The following is a 22136-nucleotide window of genomic DNA, read 5'->3' on the forward strand; positions in this document are numbered from 1 at the left end:
CACCTGTCTTCCAGGGAGCTTAAAAACATTATAAATATTATCTCATGGACTCTTCCTGCATTTCTAGGAGATAGGCAGGGATGGAAAATTTTAGAAGATAATAAAGAAAAAAATTTAACAGGAAAAGAAAGCATCTATTAAGTCTTGATGTTTGAAATCACTGAAACTTATAATTATATCAAAGCATTTACTACTCAAAATATTTCAACTTTGGAATGTTCCATCTCTTCTAAAGATCAGATTTATATCATGCCATGCTCTGGGAAAGTTCTTGCTGTTTCAGGAATTCTCCTAGAGGCTGACATGGCTTGAGACTGAGGCCAAGAACACTCTGAAGATTGGCTCCATACTTTATTTTGTTATAGGTTGTTCAAGTGTCATTAATGATGATTTAACAATGAATTAGTCATACTACAATTTGATTAAATGTTAGGCACAGCTTTTTTAAGATGGGAAAATACTATTTAATCATTTAAGATAATTGTGAAGATTGAAACAGAACTCTGGTGAAATTCATAAATCACGTTGAATGTCATTTTCAAATTCTGAGGTCTTCATAACTTAGAGTGGAAAATCTACTCATTGATTCTTAACCGAAATCATTAGTCCTGTAGTAAATATTAGGGAACATTGTAAACTCATCCCACTCTTAGTAGTGAATAAAAGTGAATCATGCTTTTTCCATCTAGTGGGGTTGTGGAATCAAGAATATGTAGCACATTTTTTAAAAATGTAACAGGAAATAATATAGGTAAAAGCATAGAATATTCATTTTTGTCTTATAAGAAGAAAGGAATCCTTAATCCTAGGAGGATTTATTCAAAAAAGCAATCAAGCAATTTGCTGGATTTCACATCCAAAATATAAACAAATGTCACTCTTATTCTTGGTCACATTATATGTGATTTATTATATAATATTTTGAATCTGCAATTTATAGACCAGGCATTGAGACTAGTGTTTTCCATACTGAATAGTGAAATTATGTTTTGCAACACATTTGGAATTTAGGAATTGTGCTTTCAAAACACAGATGATCAGCCGAATATGATATCTCTGGTAGTCATTTATAATGATTTGAAAGGCAGTTAGAGGTGTTTAGGATTTGTCTAGTAGTTCCCTGGTAGGAAAGACGGGATTGCCCAGTCATACTAACTGTGTAAGTAAGTATCTCTTCAGATTTTAACAACCTTACGGGTTTTTTTTTTTTTTTTGAGACGGAGTCTCGCACTGTTACCGGGCTGATGTCCAGTGGTGTGATCTCAGCTGGCTGCAACCTCCACCTCCCAGGTTCAAGTGATTCTCCTGCCTCAGCCTCCCGAGTAGCTGCAATTACAGGCACCCGCCACCACGCCCGGCTAATTTTTTGTATTTTTAGTAGAGACGGGTTTTCACTCTGTTGGCCAGGCTGGTCTTGAACTCCTGAGCTTGTGATCCAGCCTCTTCGGCCTCCCAAAGTGCTGGGATTACAGGCGTGGGCCACCGAGCCCAGCCAGGAAGATCTTTTAACCTCCTTGTTATGAAACTCAGATATTAACTTTTTTTTTAATACTTCTCCATGTTAAATGAAAACAATGTTGTAAGGATACTAACCTATATACTGTATTCTTAGAAGTAGGAAATGCTTCACCTTTTTGCCATTAAGTTAAACATGATGAGTCTTCATGGCACCTCTTCCACTACTTTCAGTTGCCTTTTTATTTCTTCTTTGCATCTGTTCGAGTTTTCTGTTTCTTTGTTCATTTAAAAATTCTTTTAATGCTTTCAGTATGCCCAGCTATTCTGTTGGGTATGACTTACAGCAGTGAATAAGAAAATGTATGCGTCTTAATGGACCTTACATTCTGCATTACCTGGAAGACAGGTGATAAAAACAACATAAACAACAGAAAATTTTTTGGAAAAAAACCTATGTACATCAAATGTATGTAGATCAAGTGTGTCAACAATATGAAAGAATAGAAGTCTCACTTTAAACATAGTCACTCTCAAAGCTGTTTTCAAGAACATGTAGGGAAACAGTGGAGTTCCGAATATGTTTCCTGTTCTAGTCCATTTTCACACTGCTATAAAGAATTGCCTGAGACTGGGTAATTTATAAAGAAAAGATCTTTAATTGACTCACACTTCAGCACGTCTGGGGAGGCCTCAGGAAACTTACAATCATGGCAGAAGGCGAAGGGGAAGCAAGGCATCTTCTTTACAAGGTGGCAGGCAGGAGAAGTGCTGAGGGAAGGGGGAAGAGCCCCTTATGAAACCATTAGATCTCGTGAGAACTCACTCCCTATCATAAGAACGGCATGGAGAAATGGCCCCCATGATTCAATTACCTCCACCTCGTCTCTCCCATGACACATGGATTATGGGGATTACAGTTCAAGATGAGATTTGGGTGGGGACACAAAGCCTAGCCATATTATTTCCCTTAAAATACATTTTTAAGGCCAGGCCCAGTGGCTCACTCCCATAATCCCGGCACTTTGGGAGGCTGAGGTGCGCAGGTCACATGAGGCCAGGAGTTCGAGACCAGCCTGAAACCCCATCTCTACTAAAAATACAAAAGTTAGCCGGGTGTGGTGGTGCACACCTGTAATCCCAGCTACTCAGGAGACTGAGGCATGAGAATCACTTGCACCCGGGAGGCAGAGGTTGCAGTGAGCCGAGATTGTGCCACTGCACTCCAGCCTGGGCAACAGAGCAAGACTCTGTCTCAAAAATTTAAAATAAAGGTAAATTTTTAAGAAGATAGCCAATTCCTTTGCCCCCATGTTTCTTCTAGTTTATCAGGACATGATTCTAAAATTAAAATTATAAACTAAAGAAAATGCCATCTTAGCACAAATAAATGCCAAATCTTTGCTTATAATTAGGCTTTCATCAATAATAGTATTCTTACATCAGCCTCTGTGCTTAGATTCATTTATATGGGTATGATTATATTTTTGTATATACAAGCAAGGTCTTTTTTAATGTGCCTCATCCTCAAAATATAAAATCTCTTGAACAATTCAAGAAGCTATGCCCAACACTGCCCAAATGTCTTTATTGCATTAGCTCCCTCTGTATAATAGAAACATCTCTTATCCCTGTAATTCAGCTATTGTGTGGTCTGTGGTCCACACTCTAAGAGTCTTACGGAATTCATCTAGCCCTGCAACCCATTCAATTTTCCCTCCCTATCTTCCTAGTTCTACTGAAGCCAAGATTTCATGGTCTATGTTTAAACACCTCCTCACTGGGAACATCTCTCACCTCTGCCCTAAAATAGGCAGATTTAGAGAATTTAGCCCTACTGTCATAAGGCATTCATTGTTTGTAAAGGTGCTAGATATGTACCCTCCTTGAGAGAATTGAGAATATACTCACTCAAAAATTGTTCTGACGGCCACCTGGCTTTATATTCTTCATAACACTTATCACTGTCTGCAACTGCATCATTTATTTGTCCATCAATAGTATAAGCTTCATTAAGAAGGCAGTTTTGCTTTGCTTCTTGCCGTACCCCTGTACCTAGAACAATGCACAGTATAGCATACACTGTCTTGCTCACCAGGCATAGGTCTAGCAACCCTTGTTAAGCTCATCTCTTTGCTTTCTCCATATTTGCACCACAATATTGAGCAGCTGATCATTTTTGTATGCAGGAAGGTCCTTAAAAGGACACCGACTAGTATCACGTTAAATTCATAAACCCACTGACAACTCAGTTTTTTTCCTCAACAATGTTACTAGATTTCCCTTGCAAATTTAGCTTTCTCTATTTCTGAGATTTGTTTATATCATCCCTTCTCAAACCTTTGCAATCTTCCTGTTCCATTTACCGATGACTCTAATGATAACCTCACCTTATACCTCGATGAGAAACAGTTACATGATTATACAGAAGCTCCCACACTTACCCACCATCACATCTGCAAACCAACAGCATCTGAATCTGTATTTTCTGTGCATCTTTCACTGCAAGAGAAGGAAAACCCTGCTCTCATTAAAGGCAGATCTTTACCCACATGCTCTGGACCTGATACTTCTATTTTTATCCAGGAATCCACTCCTAGAGTTACCTCCCCTTCTCTCTCAACTTCAGTTGTACGTTTTCCTTCTGGGCTTGATTCCTTCAACAGCACTCAGATGTACTCTATCTTACAGAGTGTGAAACCATAAGAAGGGTGCTAAATATACACCTATGGCGAGGACAAGTCTTTTTAGTGACTGTTAATACTTGATTATTAGAGGAATGATTGGGGGGTGAGAGAGTTTACGTATGTTTATTGCGGCACTATTCACAATAGTAAAGACTTGGAACCAACCCAAATGTCCAACAATGATAGACTGGATTAAGAAAATGTGGCACATATACACCATGGAATACTATGCAGCCATAAAAAAGGATGAGTTCATGTTCTTCGTAGGGACGTGGATGAAGCTGGAAACCATCATTCTCAGCAAACTATCGCAAGGACAAAAAACCAAACACTGCATGTTCTCACTCATAGGTGGAAATTGAACAATGAGAACTCTTGGACACAGGAAGGGGAACATCACACACCAGGGCCTGTTGTGGGGTCGGGAGAGGGGGGAGGGATAGCATTAGGAGATATACCTTATGTAAATGACAAGTTAATGGGTGCAGCACACCAACATGGCACATGTATACATATGTAACAAACCTGCACATTGTGCACATGTACCCTAGAACTTAAAGTATAATAATAATAAATAAATATATGTGTATATATATATATATATATATATATATATATATATATATATATAAAAGAGTTTAAAGAAGGAAAAAAACACGACACGAAGAAATGGACACAAGCAAATTGGTAGTTGCGTCGTGGGAGGGAGTAGCATGTGATGAGGCCGAACGTGTATTCCTGGCTGAGGGACTTAGGCTTCATCCAGAAGTCTTGGGGAGCAGAAGTTGCTCTTGGGGAGCAACAGTTTCCCAGTGATCAAGGGATCGGTGGAGGCAGATTGGACTTGGAAGCAGGAGACCACTTATAAGATCGTTATGGTACGCTGGTAAAGAAATGAGAAAGCCTTGGACTAAGGAAGTGGGGATGGTGCTGAAGAGAGAATAGCAGTGATGGTACTGAAGACAGAATAGCTGTGAGGGATAATAATAAGACAGAACCAAATGGACGAGGAGATGATGGATAGGTGTCTAGATTTTAGGTTTGAGTATCTGGGTGAGTGGGGGTACTAATCACTGAGATAGAGAATATGCATAGACGGAAAGATTTGAATGGTTGGCATGGTTACCCATATGTAAACACGCAAGTGGGCATGCCCAGTGGACATGTGGGTATATGAGCTGAACTTGGCATAGAGATCTGAGATTGAGGATTGGACATCATAAGCAAGGTGATTCTTGCATGGATGTGGTCACCTAGGAGGTTAAGAAAAATTAGATCCAGGGATAGTATTCTGGAGGAGAATAGCATTTTTAGGATGGACAGAGGAAAACCAGGTGTTAGTAGTCAGGTAGATAGGAAGAAAATTGGCAGATGAATTTGTTACGGAAGCCAGAATTGGGAAGAGTTTCAGAAAAGGGCAAATGCGAATACTCATAGCAGCACATGTTCAAATGGACTGGGTAAATGAGGACTGAACAACAGCTAGGCTTGTGGATATGAAGGTGGGGGTCAGTGGACGGAACATGTTTCTGGGATTGGCATAAGCAGACGCTGATTTTCTGAGCTTTTAACATAGAAGTGAAGAACTAGTGTGCACAGCTCTTATTGCGGGACAACTGTAACTGATGCATACGTGTTGGACTGAACTCTTGAATCAGAGTTACTATAACTTAGCTTATCTCTATTTTCTGTCACATATGTGACAAGAAACCATATGTGACATAGGATTTTTCTGTCGCAAAACCAACATATGTGATGGTTTTGTTTTTGTGCATGTGAGATGAAGACAACTAATTCTTAATCTCCAGATGGTCATTCAGCATTTATTTACAATTTGGTGTTAAATTTTCTATTTTTTTAATAGCAGAAAATGTGGGATATAGAAAGATGAGATAAATGTGATCACTGGGGACTCATGTTTTCCTAATATATCTCTCAGAACTCAGTACACTCCTTCCTTTTTTCTCTCTCTTTATTTTTGAATCTAATTTGTAGTTTGGACAAAGTATACACACAAAAAACATATTATCGCTGAACTATAAAGAACCTTAGGTGGAATGGATGACCTTTATATATGGATCTGCTCATGTTGAAGTCACTGGGAGAGAAATACAAGCCTGGTTCTCCTTTGTTGGCCTTCAGTGCTCCCTTAGTCATATGGTACATTTTGATAAGTGTGTATTTTAAAACTTAAGCTCAACTGTTTTTTTGGATGAATGGCAATTTCTTTAAAAAAAGGAGTGGGGGCTCTCTCCATGCTTTTACATAAAGTCCCTACCATGATTTTATAAATCAAAAATAGCTAATGGGATTTTTCACTGACCTTGCTCTTCATACTTCTACCCGCCTCCCCGCTTTTCCCAAACATTTCTTCTTTAAGCATAGTAAATTGTGGCTGAACTAGGGGAATAGAACCAAAATGAAAATGCATAAATCTGTAATCACATGCTTATAATTAAAAGAATGATGAAACCTCAGCTCTTAAATATACAGTCTGTAGTATTGGTAATGCTATACTTGAGAACAAAGAGATGCTGAAAGCAGTGGCTGTTGACTGTGCCAAAGACTGAAGAGCCTAGTAGAAGAGAATATCTTTCTCAGAAAGGAATATTCTTTATGCAGGGTGAGCATGTTTCATGTTGTACTTCTGTGTTTTTCTGAAAATATGATAAAGACACTTTTTCCAGTAATGAAAACAGGTATGTTTGATTTTTTGGTGTAATCTCCCTTCATTGACCATTTAATGTTGAAAAAGAAGCAAATTGTCTTTTAAGCAAACCGCTTTTTACCATTGTGAATTTGGTGTGATTTGTTGTAGATTTTTAAATTTTAATGAATTTGGTGTGATTTTCTGTAGATTTTTAAATTTCCCTTTTGGAGAGAAAAACCAAAACACTTGCCCTGCTGGTAAATCATGGGACTTCGTCCAAGCCCTTGCTTGGCCCCTCCCAGTTTTAAGCTTGAATGAGGGCAGGTCTCTGGGACCCTGCCCCTTGCAGCAGGAGCATCTTGTCTCGTGTGCGTGCGTGTGCATGCATGTGCAAATGTTCCCTGAGACCCAGGACAGAGGCTGCATCCTAAGGGCTGGTTTTACCCTCTTTTCATTCTGTATGTCCTCCCCCACCTGCCTGTGAAGCTCTCAAGGTCCTGCCAGCTCTACACGTCCCCAACTCTGTTTCTCCCCTCCCTTTATACTAGGGGTTCAGAACTTCCAGCCAGAAGCCACTGCCCTTGTACTACCTTGTCCCCAACCCCTTTGTCCCCTCTGCCCCCCAGCCTGCTTCCTGCCTGATGGCTCAGGTGTCCCCATGCTGGTCATGCTGGCTCAGGCTGCAGGAGCAAGCCTGGGAGACTTCCCTGCCTCTGCCACTTTGTGTGGGTAATTGTGCTTTAGGGGAAAGTGGGGGGTTCAGTAAATTTCTGGTGCACTAGTGGGAAAAAAAAGGTCATAGGATAACAATTATTAAACCTTAATGCTATTTCTGCTGTGCTGAAGAATGAAGCAAAGCCATTTATACTCCAGGCAATTTTACTTTCGTGACTCTTTAGGTCAGTCTGAGCAGCCATTATTATCCTCATTTTACGATGAGGAAACAAATTCTCAGAGGGCTCATTGCTTGACTGAAATACAATAGATGGCAAAGTCAGGCTGGAACCAAGATCTTTTAAAGGAGGCTGGAGCAGTATTTTAATTTAAAAATCATTGTAATATAGTAAGAGACCCAGATAGGGCCGTTTTGTGGTGTCAGGTGGTAGAAACCATAAATACAGATGAAATCCCATGTAAGATAATCAATTAAACTCAAAAGTCACCAATAACTGGACTGCAAAATGAATACGCTTTTGTATTAGTGCAACATTCATGCGGACACCGTGAACCAGACGGACAAAACTCTTTCCTCTCTTGTAGTGACAAATGATGATTCCATTTTAAAGGTACCTTTCTTGCCACTCTTAACATTTGAGAAGCATGAATTTGAAGTGATTCTTCTGGAAACAAAAATAGTTTATATCACCACTTCTCTCTGAGGGTTAGATTTCCAGCAGCCACAATCATTCATTCCACAACCGTAGATGAGACTTGATCAAAGAGCCTCTGAGGAGTGACAGGGAATCGATTCCATATGGGAGTCCCTAACCACCGCCTCCTGCATATTTCCAGTCGGATGCTCCCACTGGCACCTCACACTAAATATCTCCATAATGTGTTCCATGCTGTGTCTTCAGCACCTAGTACGTCGCAGACTCCCAATAAACATTTACTTCACAGATGAATGAATGAAGGAATGACTGTCAATTCAACACAAGCATCTCAGTTCTTCTGCTCCGCTTGTGTTCTCTAACACTGTAAGTAGTGCTACCACCCATGTGATTGTCTAAGACAGAAAGCTTGGCCTCATTCTTCATTTCTCTATGAATGAGTGCTGGGAATGTTTAAATAATGCATGTATCTATTATAAAATACAGGACCATAATGGAATGTAAGTCTTCTCACTATTACTGTTCTCTACTTTAACCAATGTTGTATTTCATTTCTAGCCTTCCAGAGATAATTTGCATGGATAAGCATGTATGTGCATATATAGATATAGATATATACACATATACATACATACATACGTGTGCATATATATACATACATATGTGTGTGTATATATATACACACAGACACACATATATATACACATATACATACATACATACGTGTGCATATATATACATACATATGTGTGTGTATATATATACACACAGACACACATATATATACACACACACACATTTGTATTTATATAGTTTTTACTAGTGGTTACATGCTCTATATGTCTTTCTGCCTTTTGCCTTTTCATTTCCATTATGAAATATTTTATATTTCTTTGTTTTATATTTTCTATATAGAGATAACTATATGCAAGTGTATATGTTTTAGATACACACATACATACAACATAAAATTTTGTACTATATTCATTTTATGTTGAACACAAAAATAAAACATTTTATTATTCATACACTATTTATGTGAGACAGCCAATTCTCCTCATTTTCTATAGTTAGGTTTTATAGAGTCACTGCGAACACTGAATTAGTGAATATGGAACTATTCTTCTATGGGGAAATACAAGTTTAGGTGCCTGCAAGCCTGTGGTCATATTCTTGTCAACTAATTCACTCATAACTTTGTCTTATGTGTGTTTATGTTTAATGACACCTTAGCTAATAATATACATTGTTCATTCATTAATGTTGAACTCATGGCTGGCAACACTGTTACTCATGCCTTAATGAACTTTACTTAACACATGTATTTTCTCCATAAGGTATATCACAGCCATCTTGCACATAGGAACACTAGCTAACAACTGAGCACTCTGCTTGGGGGCCATTTAAAACAGTGAAATTACCAAAAATCCCATAAAGATGTGGAAAATGTGGCACAAAATAGATGGTGACAAGGGCACTTTTCACAGTGTAAGAGCTGAAACAAGAAGGCAGAGTGTTACCTTGCAAAACCTCAGCTGGAAACATGCTAGTTTATATAACAAAAATAAGGTTATATTATAGATCTATATGCATATCTTATAACCTAAATGAGGTATAAAGATGTATCCCAATAGCCATATACACCCAGCTCACAGAATAGAACATGATCAATACCGGTCAGTCAGCTCTTCCATTTATCTTTCTCCAATCTTATACCTGTGTCCCCTTCAGAAACAACCACTATCCTGAATTTTCTATTTATCATTCCGATGTTTATTCTTTATAGTTTTGCCAAAAATGTAAATCATAACCAACGTATTGTTTACAATTTTAGGAACTTTGTGTGACTGGAAATATAAGCATACCCTGCTGCAACTTAGTTTTTTCTCCACTGAACGTGGTTTTTGAAATTCTTTCATGTTTTTGCATGTGGTTCTATTTCATTAATTTTTATTCTATTGTAGGACTATAATAGCACAGATTGTCTATCCTATTCTATCCTTTTTTTTTTTTTTAAATTTGAGATGGAGTTTCGCTCTTGTTGCCCAGGTTGGAGTACAATGGCACGATCTCGGCTCACCGCAACCTCCGCCTCTGTTTAAAGCGATTCCTCTGCCTCAGCCTTCCAAGTTCAGCCTTCCAAGTAGCTGGGATTACAGGCATGAGTCACCACACCTGGCTAATTTTGCATTTTTAGTAGAGGGGGGGTTTCTCCACGTTGGTCAGGCTGGTCTCAAACTCCCCACCTCAGGTGATCTGCCCGCCTCGACCTCCCAAAGAGCTGGGATTACAGGCGTGAGCCACCGCGCCCGGCCCTCTATCCCTGTTTTATTGATTATGGACAATACTTATATGAACATTTGTGTTCACAATTCCTGATCCACATCCATACTCCCTTTTTGTGTTGCAAACCTAGGAGGTTTGCTGAGGTGTGGGACAAGTGAATCTTCTGCCTCGGAGGTAAAGTCAAAGTGTTTTTAAAAATGATTAGTTCTCATCTGCACTTCTATCGGCAGAGTTCCAATTGTGTTAAATCCTTACCAGCACCGAGTTCTTTGATTTTATTTTTTTTAGTTGTTTTTGACCCAATTGACTCTTTAAAGTGGTATTTCGTTGAGGTTTTCACTTGCATTTTCCTGATTATTTTTGAGAAATCATGTGTTTTCACACATTTATAGTTGTTTCCTTTTCTCTGTAATGCCATTGTGAGTCTTTTGGCTGTTTTTTAATGACTTGTCTTTTACTTATTGAGTTATTAGGACATCTTTATATATTGAGGACATTAAAATGTGGTCAGATAAATTTTCCCAAGCCCTGCTCCCACTTTGGAGCTTGTCTTTTCATTTTTCTTTTGCTGACTATTGATTTTAAAAGTTCTTTATTTCTATGTAGTGATATCTATCAACCTTTTTCTTGATGGTGCATAATTTTTTTGCCTTATTTAAGAAATCCGGCGGGGGGCAGTGGCTCACGCCTGTAATCCCAGCACTTTGGAGGCCAAGGTGGGTGGATCACGAGGTCAGGAGATCGAGACCATCCTGGCTAACACGGTGAAACCCCATCTCTACTAAAAATATAAAAAATAAGCCGGGAGTGGTGGTGGGCTCCTGTAGTCCCAGCTACTCGGGAGGCTGAGGCAAAAGAATGGCGTGAACCTGGGAGGCAGAGGTTGCAGTGAGCCGAGATCACGCCACTGCACTCTAGCCTGGGTGACAGAGCGAGACTCAGTCTCAAAAAAAAAAAAAAAAAAAAAAAAGAAATCCTTCCCTTCTCTAAGTTGGTAAAGATAATGTCCTTTATTTTCCCAAGAAAATTTTATAGTTTTGCTTTCACATTTAATCCTTCAGTCTATTTGAAATTCATTTTTATCTATGATCTGCAATAGGAATCACATTTAATTTTACGTCATATGGATAATGCTGTTTTAGTTGTTTAGTGCCATGTAAGGAATAAGCCGTTTTCTCTCTAATATGCTGTACCATTTCTATCATGTAGGAACTTTCCATATATGTATGAGGCTTTCTTGGGTTTTCTCTATACTATTCCATTAGCCTATTTCCATTATTTATCCTTATAACAAAACCTGTTACTATTCTATTTACTGTAGACTTCTAATAAGTCTTGAAATGTGAAAAGGCTAGATTCCTACCTTCTTTAGATTTATGCCTCCTCTTGGTAGTTTATTCTGCTATATAATTTAAGAATTAAGTTGTTAAGTTCCACCAAAACAAAACTATTAGGATTCTGACACAATTACACAGGCTATAGATCAGACTGGGTAGAACTGACATCTTTATGATATCAAGGCTTTCTATCTATGAACATGGTACAGACTAGTGTTTATTTATGTTTCCTTTAATATCTGCCCAAAAAGTTTAAAATTTCATTAAGATTTCCATATGTTTTTGTACAAATATTTCTAAAGACCTCATTTTTGTTTGTATTTTGTAAACTGCATTTACTCTATTTTGAAGATATGTAAAATTCAAATAGCTTACATCTTACAAACTTGTTAAGCCCTCTTATTAATTTAACAATTTGAGATATTAAAAAATTTCTCTGGCGATATCACTGCGAATAATGACAGTTTTATGTATGTATGTATTTATTTGCTATGTAGTTTCTTTTTTCTTCCTTTTTTCTGGTCATTTTGCACTGTGTTGTACCTTTAGTATAATATGGACAGAAAGAGTAGAAATGTCATTTCACAAAGGGGCATAATTAGAGGAATACAAATAAATATTTTGGCCATCTTTGTAAACAAATTAACACAAATTGATTGGAGGTTTTCATATCATTTAATTTTCCCCTCTACTACTTTTCAAGTGATATTCTGTATCTTTATTCTTTTAGTGCCTATCTTGGATATATTGACACAGTTCTTTTTATTGTGTATATTTAAAGTGTACAACACAATGTTTATATATATATATATATAAACACAGAGTAAAATTATTCGTCAAGCAAATTAACATATTTTATCATTTCACATAGGTACCGTGTGTGCACGCGCACGCACCCTGTGTACTGCTGAATAGACAGATCTCTGGACATATTTATGCTACATAGCTGCGATTTTGTACACTTTCACCTCCATCTCCCCACTTCCCTCCACCTCCTGCCTTTTCTACTCTTTGTTTCTAGGCATGCAAGTTTTTTGGTTTTGTTTTTAGTTGAGATTTCACATATAAGTGAGATCAAGCAATATTTTTCTGTTAACACAATTATTTAGCAAAGTCTAAAGTTGCTGTTTTTACTTCCCTCTAAACAAATTCTTAGCATGTTTTAATGCTAATCTTACCATTTGAATGCCATTCCTTTCCAGTGTTTTAGTTTCATTTTATATTGTCTGTTACCCCTAAAATATAGAATTATTATTTTATGTATTCATTTTTGGTTTACATTTAACCAATACCATTGTCTTGGCTCACTATTCCTTCATATTATGCCGCCTTCTAAGATTATTTTTCTTCTTTCTCAAGTACACCCTTGAAAAGTTGCTTTGGTGTGAACTCCGGATTGTAAATTCTGTTTTTGTCTGTGTGAACATATCTTTATATCAAGCCTGTTTTTTAGCAATAGATTTGCTAATTATAAAATTCTAGGTTCAAAGTAAATTCCTTTCAGCCGCCTGGAGGCCTCTGCTTTCTCTATTCCCTTGTTGCATTGACAACTCTACTCGGGTCCAATTTTTGCTTCTTTGTTTCTAATCTAAATTTTCCCTCAGGATCTTTTATGTTTTTCTGTTTCTCCATATGTTTGTTTTGGCTAATCATCAGGAGGCACTACCAACCCAAACTATTTTAAAATAAATCCTTGCCTTGCATGTTAGGATCACACATTGGGCGTTTGGGGCCTAATGCAGTGTGGTTGCCCATGATGGGTAAGGGATTCCTATGTGAGAGAGTTTCCCCTTCCCCCAAAGCTACTGGTGAGGTGGATGCATTTCCTTAATGCCTGATTTAGTGGGGTGATTCTTTTCAATTTCTTCTTTTAAGATGTCTCTGTGGTTATGTCGGACGATTTGAGGCCTGTTCAAAAATTTCCCATATGGCCTTAAAAACTAAAGTTCTAGGTTGCTAGGTTTAGCGATGTCCTGAGGAAGTTCTGGCTTGCACCTCTTTGGAATCCTGCTCCTGTTTGTTTTTATGGCCTCAGAGAATTTTCCTTATTTTCTATCCAACTCAGCCATGCATTCAATATTACTTTACCCCAGCTTTTTTGTGTTCTTTGTTCTGAAACTTTTTGATATCTATAGTCTTGTTGAAATTAGAAGTCTATCTTGTTTTTTTCAATGAAAATATATTTAAATAATTTTACATTAGTACGTTCTTCTTAATGACTTCATAGTATTTCACTATAAAAATGCACCCAAACTTACTTGCTCATTTCTCTACTTACCCACCTTTTTTCTAAAACATTGTTTTCAAAAGCAAAAGATTATGGTAAAAACATGTGTGTATGTCTCACAATTCACATTTGGTACTGTACAGCCCGAAATGTTGAGCTGCTGGGTCAAAAGCAGTATTAGCCTTATTCTTGATGCCTCCTTTTCTCCCATACCCTTGCCATCCTTGCTTTCCTTACCTCATCGTTGTTAAGTCCTGTGGCTTTGCTCACATGTGTCCACTCCACTCTAATCCCATTGCATCAACCTATCTCAGACCCAAATTATCACTTTTTTTCCTTAGGCTGACCGTTTCCTAACAGGTCTCACTTTTCCTCATCACCGCCATTCTGTTACCGTATAATCACCAATAACCTGATAGTAACCTTCAGTCTTCTGGAAAAGATTGAATAATGTTAGTATAATAAATTATTAAAGTGTGCGACTACTCATTAAAATTTATGTTTAAAATATAGAGCTAATATATTTTAAACTATGTAAAATATCAAAAATGTGTGTTTATTTATTTTTGGGAGAAGGAGTCCTTGCTCTATTGCCCAGGCTGGAATACAGTGGCGGGATCTCAACTCACTGCAACCTCCGCCTCCTGGGTTCAGGCAATTCTCCTGCCTCAGCCTCCTGAGTAGCTGGGATTACAGGCACATGCCACCATGCCCAGCTGATTTTTTTTTATTTTTTGTTTTTTGGTTTTTTTTTGGTAGAGACGAGGTTTCACCATATTGGCCAAGCTGGTCTTGAACTCCTGGCCTCAAGTGATACCCCCACCTTGGCCTCCCAAAGTGTTGAGATTACAGTCATGAGCCACTGCGCCTGACCTGAAATGTATTTTTAAAATATACCTTATTTGCCCTTCATGTTAGATAATACAAAATTAATTGCATATTTTTTCATGGTTAAGTCTAAGCTTTCCTTCCTTAGGTTCTGGGTACTTGGATATGCTCTGCCATGAAGAAGAATCCTGACCAAATAAATGGTTGTGTTCTTGTAGCTGAACCTCAATTACATTCTTTAGTGACTGACGTGAATCTTCCAGTTTTTTTTGAAGAAAAGTCAGCCAGAAACTGAGTTCAAGACTAGCACTTTTAAAATTTTAAACCTTTTTTGTTAAAGCAATTCTGGTATAATAAAACCCAAGGGTCCATTTGTATAGTTACCTAAGAAATACCAACGTGTTGATTCAGAAGTAAATCGTCATAACATATTAAATTGCACCATTTAAAATTATGATATTTTCTGGTTAATGTCTAAAATCTGCCAGTTTATTAATTTTCTGCTTGACACATGTTCTAACTACATGTTACTTGGGCATTTGGATCATTAGGGAAATAAGAGTTGAGTGTGTTTGTTGTACGTTGTCTATGGTTTCCTAAGTCTCCTCTGAAGATAAGCAACACTTGTGAGACAGATGTGTCACACAGTGGAGGGCTTTGGTGTAATTACCGCTCTCTGTTGTGCATGAATAAAATCTAAGTGAAACACTGCTAAACCATGTTAACTTATGAGAAGGGTCAGCTGGGCATGGTGGCTCATGCCTGTAATCCCAGCATTTTGGGAGGCCGAGGCGGGTGGATCACCTGAGGTCAGGAGTTTGAGACCAGCCAGGTCAACGTGGTGAAACCCCGTCTGTATTAAAAATACAAAAATTAGCTGGGCATGGTGGTAGGCACCTGTAATCACAGCTACTTGGGAGGCTGAGGTAGAAGAATTGCTTGAACCTGGGAGGCAGAGGTTTCAGTAAGCCGAGATCACGTCATTGCACTCTAGCCTGGGCAACAGAGAGAGACTCCATCTCAAAAAACAAAAACTTATGAGAAAAGTCATCTAACTCATATGGCAAATGGTCTCATATCATGTGCCAAATCTGACAGATTGATACTGGCTTAATGGAAGTGTGTTTTGAGGATAAATCTTAGGTCTTACCTGAATTCTTGGGTTTGAAAGAGTAGCATGAGTAATTAGTGATTTCTGAAATATGATAGGGAAGAATTGAGTAGTAGCAAGTATTTTTCCTCCAATGATTTCTTATTTTTTTCTTCATAAAGTTTATGCTTATATTTTTATAGATGGAATATATTATATATTTTGTATATATTATATATGCTATGTTTATATGTAAGAAATAGGTATAAAATCTATAGAGATTTATTGTATGTTAAAGGAAAACCAAACCTAAATCACTTTTGGAGGAAGAATTTCTTTTTTTTTTTTTTTTTAAGGCTGTTTTGAAAGCTTGTATACAGGCATCCCTGGGAGATATTACAGACCACCACAGTAAAGCAATATTGGTTCCAGACCACCACAGTAAAGCAATAAAGCAAGTCACATGCATTTTGGGGGTTCCCAGTGCATATAACAGTTACATTTATGCTATACTGTACTCTATTAAGTGTGCAGTAGCATTATACATTTAAAAACTACGTACATACCTTAATTTAAAATATATTTAAAAATGCTAACAATCGGCTGGGCGCCGTGGCTCATGCCTGTAATCCCAGCACTCTGGGAGGCTGAGGCGGACAAATCATGAGGTCAGGTATACGAGACCAGCCTGACCAACACGGTGAAACCTCACCTCTACTAAAAACACAAAAAGTAGCGCGCGTGGTGGTGCACACCTGTAATCCCAGCTACTCAGGAGGCTGAGGCAGGAGAATCGCTTGAACCCAGGAGGTGGAGTTTGCAGTGAGCCGAGATCTCACCACTGCACTCCAGCCTGGGCGACAGAGCAAGAGTCCATCTCAAATAAATAAATAATTGCTAACAATCATCTTAGCCTTCAGCAAGTTGTGATCTTTTTTCTGGTGGAGGGTCTTGCTTCCATGTTGACAGCTGCTCGCTGACAGGTCAGGGTGGTGGTTGCTGAATATTGGGGTAGCTGTGGCAGTTTCTGAAAATAAGTCAAAAATGAAGTGTGCTGAATCAATTGATTCTTCTTTCACTAAATATTTCTATATAGCATGAGATGCTATTTGGTAGTATTTTACCCACAGTAGAACTTCTTTCAAAATTTGAATCAGTCCTCTCAAACCCTGCTGCTGCTTTATCAACTAAATTTGACTTTCTAAATCTTTTCTTGTCATTTCAACAATGTTCACAGCATCTTTAACAGGAATAGACTCCATCTCAAGAAATGACTTCCTTTGGTCATTCATAAGAAGCAACTCCTCATCCGTTCAAATTTCATCATGAGCGATTTGCTGCGATTTGGTCACATCCTCAGGCTCCACTTCTCATTCTAGTTTTCTTGCTGTTTCCACCATTTCTTCAGTTCTTTCCTCTGCGGAAGACTTGAGCCCCTGCAAGTCATCTGTGAGGTTTGGAACTCACTTCTTCCAAACTTCTGTTAATGTTGATATTTTGAACCCTTCTCATGAGTCAAGAATGTTCTTAATGGCATCTAGAATGATGAATCCTTTTAGATAGTTTTCAATTGATTTTGCTTGGATCCACCAGAGGAATCAATCACTACCTACAGCAGCTATAGCCTTACCAAATATATTTCTTAAATAGTAAGACTTCAAAGTTAAAATGACCCCTTGATCTAAATAGATGTTGTATTAGCAGGCATGAAAGCAAAATGAATCTCCTTGTATTAAAAACATCTCCATCAGAGCTTTTGGGTGACCAGGTTCATGGTCAATGTGCTGTAATATTTTGAAAAGAATCTTTTTTTCTGAGTAGTAGGTCTCAGCAGTGGGCCTAAAACACTCAATAAACCATGCTGTAAGCAGATGTGCTGTCATCCAGGCTTTGTTCTTCCATTTATAGATCACAGGCATAGTAGATTTAGCATAATTCTTATAGGCTGCAGGATTTTTGAAATGATCAATCAGCACTCACTTCAACTGAAAGTCACCAGCTGCATTAGCCCCTACAAAGAAATTCAGCCTGTCCTTTGAAGTTTTGAAGCAGGCATTGACTTCTCTCTAGCTATGAAACTCCTAGATGGCATCTGCTTCTTGTTTTATCTACACTGAAAATCTGTTGTAGTGTAGCCACCTTCGTCGATTATCTTATCTAGATCTTCTGGATAACTTGCCGCAGCTTCTCCATCAGCACTTGGTACTTCACCTTGCACTTTTATGCTATGGAGACAGATTCTTTCTTTAAATTTCATGAACTGACCTCTATTGGCTTCAAACTTTTCTTCTATAGCTTCCTCGCCTCTCTTAGTCTTCATACAATTGAAGAGAACTAGGGCCTTGCTCTGGATGAGGCATTGGCTTAAGAGAATGTTGTGGCTAGTATGATCTAATCGGACCACTAAAAATTTTTCCATCAGCAATAATGTTGTTTTTGCTTTCTTGTCCTTCATTTCTTCACTGAAGTAGCACTTTAAATTTCCCTTAATAACTTTTCCTTTGCATTAACAACTTGTCTGTCTCACGCAAGAGAACTAGCTTTCATTCTCTCTCCACTTTGGACATGCCTAAGTCACTAAGCTTAATTATTTCTGACTTTTGATTTGTAACTCTTTTTTCACCTGAGCACTTAGAGGCCTGTACAGTTTTTAATTGTAGGGTTATTAACTGTATGGTTATTAATTGGCCTAATTTCAACATTGTAGGGTTATTAATTGGCCTAATTTCGACACTGTTGTGTCTCAGGGAATATGGAGGCTGAGAAGAGGAAAAGAGATGATAAACAGCCTTTTGGTGGAGAAGTGAGAACACGAACAGTATTTATTGATTGTTTGCCATCTTATGTGGGCATAGTTTGTGGTGCCCCAGAACAATTTTAATAAATACATCAAAGATCACTGATCACAGATCACCATAACAGACAAGATAATAATGGGAAAGTTTGAAATACGGCGAGAATTACCAAAGTGATATGACACAAAGTGAGCACATGATGTTGTAAAAATGGTGCCAATAGTCATTCGACTACAGTTGCTGCCGATCTTCAATATGTAAAAAATAAAAAATAAAAATAAAACAAAAATTAATACCTACAAAGCACAGTAAAGCAAAGCACAATAAAAGCAGGTATACCTGCAATGAGATGTTATAGCTGCAACACAGAAGATGGTTAGAAGGCATACCTAATGGATCTCATACAATTCATGGAAGTGTTTTTATTAATAAAGCAATGCATTTAGGAATATTTGTTGCTCTAACCATCAAATGAAATATTTACCCTTTTGAACTTTCCTATTCCCATCCATTTCCCGGCATGAAACTTCAGAGGCATTCTTAACTCTAGATTGTCTCTCACATGGCTTTCTACTTTCTATCCACATTATCATAATAGTTTCTCAATTGATATGTCTGTCTCCAGCCTCCATTCCCTGCAGTTCATTCCCCAGCTGCAAGGGTGACCTGTCAGGTTTTCAGGGTATTGTATAAATGTCTCCATTGCTTTGACAGTGTTGTTTAATATGTCTTTACTGATTTTCTTTCTAATTTATTTATCAGTTAGTAAGAAGGCTGTAATCTCTAGTTACAACTTTTGATTGTCTATTTTTTCTTTCTGTTTTGTCAGTTGGGGAATTTTGTCTTTCTTTCATTTTATTTTTCTTAGTTTTTGCATTATGTATTTTGAAGTTCATAATACTTTTTTGGAGGCAAACATAGGTAGAATTGTTATATCTTCTTTTTGAATTGATCCCTTTATCATTATGTATTGATTCTCCTTTTTTCCTGGTACTATATCTTGTTCTGAGGTCTGATTTGCCTATTTTTAATACAGCTACTTCAGCTTTATTATGGCTAGTGTTTACATAATATACCCTTTTATCTTTTACTTTAAACCTAATTGTGTATTTATATTTTAAGTGAATTTCTTTTCCTAGAGAGCATAAAGTTGAGTCTTATTTTTCTTATCCTGCCAAACAATCTCTGGCTTTTAATTGGGGACATTTAGAACATTTACATTTAATGTAGTAATGATAGAGTTGAGTTTAATTTATGATCTTTATATTTGTCTACTATTTGTTTCATCTATTGTTTTCCTTCTTTTTTTCTTTCCCTTTTTTCTTATTAATTAGTATTTTTTAATATAATCGGCCCTTCATATCTGTGGGTTCTGCATGTGTGGATTCAGTCAACTGCAGATCAAAAAACTTCAACAAAAAAGGGATGTTCGTACCTATAGAATGTGTATAGACTTATTTTCTTGTCATTCTTCTCCAAACAATACAGCATAACAACTGTTTACATAGTATTTATATTATATTACATGATATTTACATTATTACAGAGATAATTTAAAGTATATATGAGGATGTGTGTAGGTTATATGCAAATACTGCATCATTTTATATAAGGGACTTTAGCATCCATGGATTTTGGTATCTGTGGGATACCATAGATGAACTAGTCTCCCATGGATATTGAGGGACAACTATATTTCATCTTATTTCCACCATTGGCTTATATGTTATACATCTTTGTTTAATATTTTCAGTGGTCACTCTAGTGGTGTGCCCCTTTAATTTATCACAGTCTATCTTCAAATAGTATTACACAACTTCACAGGTGATGTCAGAACTCTACAACAGTATACTGTCATTCTCCCTTCTGTTGTTTGTGCTATTGTTGTCATATATTTTACATCTACATATGTTATAACCAAAACAATATATTGCTCCTACTTGCATTTAAGTCATTATCTTAAAAAAATTTTAAATGACAAAATTGTATTTTATATTCATCCTCATAATTAGCATTTCCAGTTTATTTCACTCATTTGCATAGATCCAGCTTTTCATTAGGTATCATTTTTATTCTACCTGAATAACTTCCTTAACATTTCTCATTATGTAGATTTACAGGTGGAAAATTTATTTAGCCATTGCTTTCTTGAAATTATTTATTTCCCATTTTTGAGAGATATTCTTACAGAATGTAGAATTCTCAGTTAACAGGTTTTTTTTTTTTCTTTCTGCAGTTAAGATATTGTTCTTTTGTCTTGTGTTTGCATAGTTTCTGACAAGGAATCTATATTAGTTTTCCGTTAGTGCTGTAACAAATTACCACAAACTTCATAGCTTAAAACAATACAAATAATAAATTTGTAATTTCTTCAGGTCAGAAACTCAAAATGGACAAAAATTATATTAGCAGTGCTGTGTTCCTTCTGGAGTATCTAGGGGATACATTTCTTTGCCTTTTTTTAGACTCTAGAAGCTGCCCACATTCCTTGGTTTATGGCTTCTAGCTATCTTCCAAGCTAGCCATGGCTGGTTGAGGTTTTCTTGTGATGTATCACTCTGTCGCTAACTCTCCTACCTTTCTCTTTCACTTACAAGGACCCAGTGATTGCACTGGGACAACGAGGTATAATACAAGATGAGCTTCTCATCTTAAGGTCAGCTGATTAGCAACCTTAATTCCATATGCAATTTAATTCCCCCTTAATTTATTATATTATATTCCCATGTAATATATTTACAGCTGGGGATTAATAAATTAATTCCCCCATAATTTATTATATTATATTCCCATGTAATATAACATATTCATAGCTGGGGATTGGGACATGGACATTTTTAGAGGGCCATTATTCTGCCTACCACAAAGTCTTGGGAATTTATATTTTTGTTACTTGTTATAAAATGTGTTTCCCCACTCCTTCCCCATCTAAACTCTGGTTGTTTTTAAATTTTACCTCTATTGCTAGTTTATAGGATTTTTATTATGATGTGCATTGGTATATGTGTATATGTGTTTTTCTCTTTCTTTTTTGTTTCTTTTTTTTATTTTTTATTATTATTATTTTTTTAGACAGGGTTTCACTCTTGTTGCCCAGGCTAGAGTACAATGGCATGATCTTGGCTCACTGCAACCTCCGCCTCCCAAGAACAAACGATTCTCCTGCCTCAGCCTCCCAAGTAGCTGGGATTACAGGTGCCCACCACCACACCCAGCTAATTTTTGTATTTTTAGTAGAGATGGGGTTTCACCATGTTGGCCAGGCTGGTCTTGAACTCCTGACCTCAGGTGATCCACCCACCTCGGCCTCCCAAAGTACTGGGATTACAGGTGGGAGCCACCATGTCTGGCTGTGTTTTTCTCTTTCTTGAGGTTAATTGGGCTTTTGGATTTAGGTGTTTATTGTGTGTATCAAATTGGGAAAACTTTTGAACCTTATCCCCTCAGTGA

General features: G+C 37.3%; 1 protein-coding gene across 5 annotated transcripts in view; it reads left to right on the top strand.

Moving 5' to 3' along the window:
- Nucleotides 1-22136, top strand: part of FMN2 (formin 2) — a 383305-nt gene that overhangs the window by 264530 nt on the left and 96639 nt on the right. The gene's annotated exons all lie outside the window — the stretch shown is intronic.

Source organism: Homo sapiens, chromosome 1 (assembly GCF_000001405.40).
Source record: "Homo sapiens chromosome 1, GRCh38.p14 Primary Assembly".
NCBI lineage: Eukaryota > Metazoa > Chordata > Mammalia > Primates > Hominidae > Homo > Homo sapiens.